Genomic DNA, 7,149 nt, shown 5'->3' with positions numbered 1-7,149 from the left:
ATTGTTGTTTTTGAGAGCGAGTCTTGCTCCGTTGCCCAGGCTGGAGTGCAGTGGCATGATCTTGGGTCACTGCAACCTCCCCCTCCCGGGTTCAAGCGATTCTCGTGCCTCAGCCTCCTGAGTATCTGGGATTACAGGTGCGCACTACCACACCTGGCTCATTTTTGTATTTGTAGTAGAGACGGAGTTTCACCATGTTGGCCAGGCTGGTCTCAAACTCCTGACCTCAGGTGATCTGCCCATCTCAGCCTCCCAAAGTGCTGGGATTACAGGCGTGAGCCACCGTGCCCGGCCCATCAATCTTAAGATTTATTTTGTTCACCCTTGATCAAATCTCATTTTTCAAAACAAACTTTAAAATATGTTCTGAAGGAAGCATATTCTACTTATTCATCTGAGATCCATTATGAGAAAACTTCTTTCTTATAACTGAAGACATTGAGTATAAACAGTGATTTTCAGCCTTTTTTTTTTTTTATTTAGAATTTTTTCTCCAAAAGTCTTATGCAGAACCTGGATTTAAAATAGGCAGAGGTAGGCCGCTCTACCTGACATCCCTGGGGGGTGGCGGCCCACAAGTGACATTCCTCATGGCTTCTTTCAGCTCCCTGCAGCTGTCTCTGAGCCACCTCCCAGGAAGCTAGAATTCATGCTTCACGAGTTATCATCAGGTCAACTCTGGAACATGCAAAAGTCTGTCCACAGGCAGTGATTTCTGGGCAAGTGCTGCCCTGGGAGATGACAGCCAGAGCCACACTAAGGAATGTGGTGGCTTGGACCAGGTGAAGGAACCTGGTAGTTCTCAAGCAGAGTTCTGTCCTCCAGGCCTGGCAGGTGGGGTCCTTGAGGGAAGAGCCCCAGAATGTTCCCCTGAGCAGCCACTCCCGTTTGTTGCAGGCTTTGCTCCCCCAAGACCTTGACCAAGAAGTTGATATACCTCATTGCCAGGCGAAGCGTTTCATTTTTGCTCAGCTTTTTGTCTGGAGGGTGAGTGGGGATGAGCTTCCTCAGCTTGGCAAAGGCGCTGTTGACATTCTGCTGCCTCCACCGCTCCCTGGTATTTGTGAAGATCTTCCTGGTCATGTTTGAGTTCCTGAGATGGAAAGAGAAAGGGCCCTCAGGGCCAATATCTTATAAGAGGCCTGATTGGTATCACATGTCCTGCCAAGAACCTGAGATGTTAGATTTTCTCGACTCAGAGCTTACGAGATTCATTTCCTCATTTTCAGGTTTTTAAAAAAGAAAACAACCCCACAGGGACACAAACATATGCCTCTCACCTTTCGAGGCATCAGTGACGCTATGAATTATGCATAATTTCTTTTTTTAACTTAAAAACAACAGGGGAAGGTAAGAACAACACCCTTCAGCTTTTTCTCTCTGGCTGTTTTGAAGCCTCCAGTTGAAAGATTGCTTTGTCCCAATACTCCTGTTTCTTCCTTTATAACCAACTCTTCCTAATTGTTCAGAATCAGGTACAATATTGATTGAGTTTATGTATAAATGCAACATATGTTTGGCCAATAGAAAGTTTGTTTTTTGTTTTTTGTTTTTTTCTTTTTTTGAGATGGAGTCTCACTCTGTCACCCAGACTGGAGTGCCATGGCACCATCTCAGCTCACTGCAACCTCCAGCTCCCGGGTTTGAGCGATTCTCCTGCCTCAGTCTCCGGAGTAGCTGGGACTATAGGCGCCTGCCACCACGCCTGGCTAGTTTTTATATTTTTAGTAGAGATGGGGTTTCACCATGTTGGCCAGCCTGGTCTTAAACTCCTGATCTCAGGTGATCCACCCGCCTCGGCCTCCCAAAGTGCTGGGATTGCAAGCGTGAGTCACGATGCCCGGCCACCAACAGAGAGTTGAATATGAATCAACAATGTATTATCAGAATGAAGTAAAAAAAGAAAATGATTGTAGGTTTCGTTAATAAAATAAAATTTGGAATAGAGAAGACAATACAGCTCTCTTGTTAGCTGGCAGACCTCACCTGGAGGATTCAGCCCCTCTCTGTAAGAACTAAAATATCCAGACTGGACTATATTTAGAGGAGCAGGAACAGAATGATGAAGGGTCTTGAAACCCTGGTGTATGAAGAACAGAAGTGGGGGTATTTAGTCTCGCAAAAATGAAAAGACAAGGGGCAGGTGGGAGTGGTGATTTGGCGTGGATTCTGTAGAAGATACTTGGGCCTCTTTGGGGCTGCATTGGATGACCTTTCCAAGTCTAGGAGAGTGGTTTATCATCACATACTGCCGAGCATTATGCAGGCATTTTTCACTCTTAGAGGCAAGAGTCCCTTTTTTCAAGTGGCTTGGATTAACATGTGCTAATAGGAACACTTGGGAGGCACTGGCAAACAAGCCCAAGTCTAGCCCCAGGCAGTTTGATGTTCTTGGCTTACTGCTATTGGTCTGCTGCCTGCTCCACGCTCAGCTCCTCTGGGCACTGGGCCCTTTCTAGTTCCTCCGAAGACTCATGAATATTCCCAACTCTACACTTTCGCACATTGTCATTTTCTGTTCCTTGAATTTCCTCCCCACTCTCTACTTACCTATTTCTTTAAACAGCAGGTGAGATCTTCCCTTTCCAAGCCCTGACTCTACAGGAGTCTTCACGTAACTCAGCCATCAGTGGAACCATATGCATGGTGGTCAAGAGCACAGGCTCCAAGGCCAGAACCCCGGTTTGGCTGTTGGTTATACTCACCCTAGCTGTGTGACGAGCAATCTACTTAACCTCTCTGTGTTTCAAATGCCTCATAAGTAAAGATCAGTACAGGAGTACTGCATCATTGTGAGGACACATGAAATGATACACATAAAGCACCTTAGCTCAGTGTCTAGTGCATATTAAAGGCTCAATAAATATTTAATGATTGGCGGGACTCAGTGGCTCACACCCGTAATCCCAGCGCTTTGGGAGGCCAAGTCGGGGGGGGGGGGGGTGGCAGATCACCTGAGGTCAGGAGTTCACGACCAGCCTGGCCAACACGGTGAAATTCCATCTCTACTAAAAATGCAAAAATTAGCAGGGCGTGGTGGCGCACGCCTGTAGTCAGAGCCAATCAGGAGGTTGAGACAGAAGAATCACTTGAACCCAGGAGGTGGAGGTTGCAGTGAGTCGAGATCGCGTCATTGCACTCCAGCCTGGGCGACAGAGCGAGACTGTCTCAAAAAAAAAAAGAAAATTAATGATTGCAATTATTATCTTTAAAAATAAAACAGTGAAAAATAAATGTTGTAATTTATCATTTTCTTCCTAATGAAGAAGTTATATGCATTAGAGAAGGTCTTAGCTTTGTTTATGTGCTCTTTTGATTCACTTTACAGGAATATATGGGTGTGTGTGTGTGTGTGTGTGTGTGTGTGTGTGTGTGTGTGTGTGTAGAGCAAAAACCTGGAAGGATTCAGGCCAAACTGTCAACAGTGGTTCATTGGGAGAGGACAGTAGATTGGGAGAAGAGAAAAAAAGGAGACTTGTGGTGTTTTATTCTTTTTTTGGTATTGTTTTATGTGTACATATATAAAATCTTTTTTTTTTTTTTTTTTGAGACAGAGTTTCGCTCTGTCGCCAGGCTGGAGTGCAGTGGCACGATCTCAGCTCGCTGCAACCTCTGCCTCCTGGGTTCAAGTGATTCTCCTGCCTCAGCCTCCCTAGTAGCTGGGACTATAGGCACACGCCACTGGGCCCAGCTAATTTTTTTGTATTTTTAGTAGAGAAGGGTTTTCACCATGTTGGCCAGGATGGTTTCAATCTCCTGACCTCATGATCTGCCCGCCTCAGTCTCCCAAAGGGCTGGGATTACAGGCGAACCACTGCACCAACTGCATTTTTCAATCATCTCTATGCCCCCCGGGACATTTCCCCATCCTAGTTCCTTTCTTGTTGCCTTTCCTGCTTGTGTCTGGGTTGGGGAGTCCAGTGCTGTGCTAAGAATTCATGGTGAACTGGAAGCACCGCAGCCCGAGGTCACCACATGGCTTCCGGCTCCCCGCACTGTCCTCTTGCACCCACATCCTCTCTCCGTGGAGACATTCCTAGTTGGACCCATGGACCAATTACAATACTATGCACTCCAAGCTTTGGGACCAACATTTACTGACACTACGAGCCAGGTATTGTGCTTGCTGCTGAGTGTTGAGGAGCTGGCTGATTGTATTAACGTGTGAGGGAAGCATTGCGACTGCAGGAGCAGAGAAGCAGCAGCTAGCCAGGCATTCTAGCGGGTTCCCAGGCAGGCCAGGTCTCCTTCCAAAACTGAAAGGGGTGGGCCAGGTGATCCCCAGGACCTCATTCAACTCAGAAATGCTACAATGCCCCACCCATTTCCATTTTTTTTTTTTTTGACGGAGTTTTGCTCCTGTCACCCAGGCTGGAGTGCAGTGGCCAATCTTGGTGCCCACTGCAACCTTGGCCTCCCGTGGCACAGTCTCGGCTCACTGCAACTTCGTCACACAGGTTCAAGTGATTCTCCTGCCTCAGCCTCCCAAGTAGCTGGGATTGCAGGTGCCCGCCACCACAGCCAGCTAATTTTTGTATTTTTAGTAGAGATGAGTTTTCACCATGTTGGCCAGGCTGGACTCAAACTCCTGACCTCAGGCGATCCACCTGCATTGGGCTCCCAAAGTGCTGGGATTACAGGCGTGAGCCACCATGCCAGGCCACATTGCCTTTTATCTAACCTAAGTCATTTCTGAATAATCTGACCTTTGGTTCTACAATGAAAATTTGAGTGTTGTCAGAACTATACCCAAGTATATACCTAAAATATAAAAGTTTAAACCTGAATCAAGGGGATTTTAAGGTAGAAAACTATCCAGTTTTGTCCACACTGACACTGGCTGGGATTGCAGGAGCAAAGTTACATTCATGCTTCTCTTATCACAACAGGGTTTAGCTCATTCACTAAGTCAACCATAGTCCCATGGGGGGGTCTTTTTCAAGCTGGGAGGAAAAAAGATTAGGCAGGATAAACTAACGATGGTGTTCTTTTCTAAGAGGGCTCTATCCTATTGTACTAGAAACAGACAGGAAAAAAAACAAACAAACAAAACAAAAAACAGAGAACACTAGCTTCTGAAATGTAGTCTGCCATCCTAGGAGGTGCTTAATCATTCCTTGTTGATTTATCCTCAAGTGTGTTCCTCTCCTTCTCCACAGGGGAAATAGAAATCAGTGGTTTAACAAGCTGGAAAAGCACTGCATTTAGTGTTTTTCCAGTCGCAAGGAGTGATTGCTGCTAATCGTGATCTCAGAGTAATGTAAGAGCTAAAAAAAAAAATACACTAGATGCCACAGAATCAGAGAACATTTGATAGATGGCAAAACAGACGTGAAGCATTTAGGCCACACAGGGAATCAGTGGTACAGCCTGTGTCCCAGGCCTGGATATTGATGCATTTATGTCACCATTGAGGACTCCTGCCGGGTCAGGGTTCATAACCTTTTTTGTACCATGGACCTTTTAGCAGTCTGGGGAAGCCTAGGGACAGATTTGTTTTCAGAACAATGATTTTAAATATATAAAGTAAAAAGGCTTTGGTTCTCATTTCAGAATAATTATTTTAAGTCCATAAATTAAAATACATAGACACAGAAAACAACCAACTATATTTAGTAGTTATTAAAATAACTTAAAATACAATATAGCAATACATGTGCTTCATATTTAACACATTAAATAACTAGACTTATTACGATAATCTCTAAAAAGTGGTATGTAAATGATGTTTTCAAAAGATCTGCAACATCTGTGACATGAAATGCATGCATCTATGATTTCTATTGGTGACAAATTCACCACCACGGCTAATACTACTACAGTTTATTACCCACATTCATAAATAAAGGAAACGCTATGCTTAGATGAAAGGTTAGTGGAAGTAAAGATGTAATTTTTCTCCATCCAAATTCATAGCACCCCTGAATTCTATCTCTATATTCCTGGGTGGATGGGGGTTGTGTATCCCAGGCTAAGAATGACTAGGTTGGAGGAAAGTCAGGTAGAAACGCCAGGAACATGGATATGCATAAATTCTCTGTTTATATTGTCGCTACTGAAGGTAACACATTAGCAGAGAAAAGAAGGACACACTCCCCCAAGGAGGTGACCAATGCCCCTAACAGGAGCTGCTACTTTTTGTGCCAGGGGTTCCTGGACACGAAGACCGGGTTCACCAGAGAGGGTGCAGCACAGGCTCACAGCTAACACTGGGGGGCCTGTCCCAGGCATTCACTCACATACAGCTCTTTCTTCATTCCACTTTAAATTTATCTTCCTGGCATTTGGTCCGGTGCATTTGTCTCTTCTTTCACCTTTCTCTTGAAAGTAAGTGAAAATACTCGCCATGAAGGGTGGTTTATATAGTTAGATTGGGGAACAGTGCTTAACCTGCAATATGAGGCACAACTCTGCCTTTTGAAGTTATTTATAGAAGTAATACAAGCTCATTTAAGAAAAAAAATATCAAGCATACATATGTGCCTCAAGTAAAGAATAAAAGGCTACCTACCTGTCTAGCTACTCAGTCTCACTCCCCAGCCGCAGCCAGTTTGGTGTGTGTATCACACATACACACACACACCCTTTAAAATCACCATATATATTATGCAAGTCGCTTTTCTCACTTACACAACTCTGCATGTTGATATATTAAATCAGCAGCACACAGTATGAATACTGCTCTTCAGCGCCGTTCACAGTAGCCTCACGCTGGGGGAGCCACCTGTTCTAAGATGCACCCGACCCCTGCACCGTGCAGCCTGGACGCATCTCGAATACTCTGCCCAAGCTTCTTCCCTTGCCCGCTTCGCTTCCAGGCCTTTCCCTTTTTCTTTTTATAACTTTTGCTCCCCCTTGCAAACCATTGCCTTGCCTAATGATTAAGTATTTAGGGAGTCCAGGAAAGCATCTAGTGGCTGAAGTTTCGAATCTGCCAGGTGTCCGGGAGTCGCTCGGGGACGCGCGAGCTCCTTGAAGGGCTCTGGGAGATGCGCCGCCGAGAGCGGTACAAGGGGGTCCCCGGCATCACGCATAAAAGCGACGCGGGCCCGCCAACACGCTAGAGAGTCGGCCTAGCACCCCCGGAGCTGAGCCACCGCCCCTGCCCCGCGGAAAGTCCCCCGGTCTTCCCACCGAATTGGCTCGGTG

The 7,149-nt window shown here is 45.7% G+C and overlaps 1 protein-coding gene across 1 annotated transcript, besides 1 other annotated feature; it reads right to left on the bottom strand.

The window, feature by feature from the left end:
- Positions 1–455: 455 nt before the first annotated feature.
- TAL2 (TAL bHLH transcription factor 2) lies at positions 456–1,123 on the bottom strand. The gene has a single exon (NM_005421.3). It carries the CDS (start codon positions 1,081–1,083, stop codon positions 757–759), a length of 327 nt encoding a protein of 108 aa, NP_005412.1. The 5' UTR covers positions 1,084–1,123; the 3' UTR covers positions 456–756.
- Positions 1,007–1,096: an enhancer, noted in NCBI's record as "active region_28746". NCBI's record gives its function as "activates an Ori minimal core promoter by ATAC-STARR-seq in GM12878 lymphoblastoid cells {active_cell/tissue: GM12878}" and the evidence as "EXISTENCE:reporter gene assay evidence [ECO:0000049][PMID:35858748]".

Source organism: Homo sapiens, chromosome 9 (genome assembly GCF_000001405.40).
Source record: "Homo sapiens chromosome 9, GRCh38.p14 Primary Assembly".
Lineage (NCBI taxonomy): Eukaryota > Metazoa > Chordata > Mammalia > Primates > Hominidae > Homo > Homo sapiens.
The sequence above is the reverse complement of the archived record's forward strand: the minus strand, read 5'-3'. Positions and strand labels throughout refer to the sequence as shown.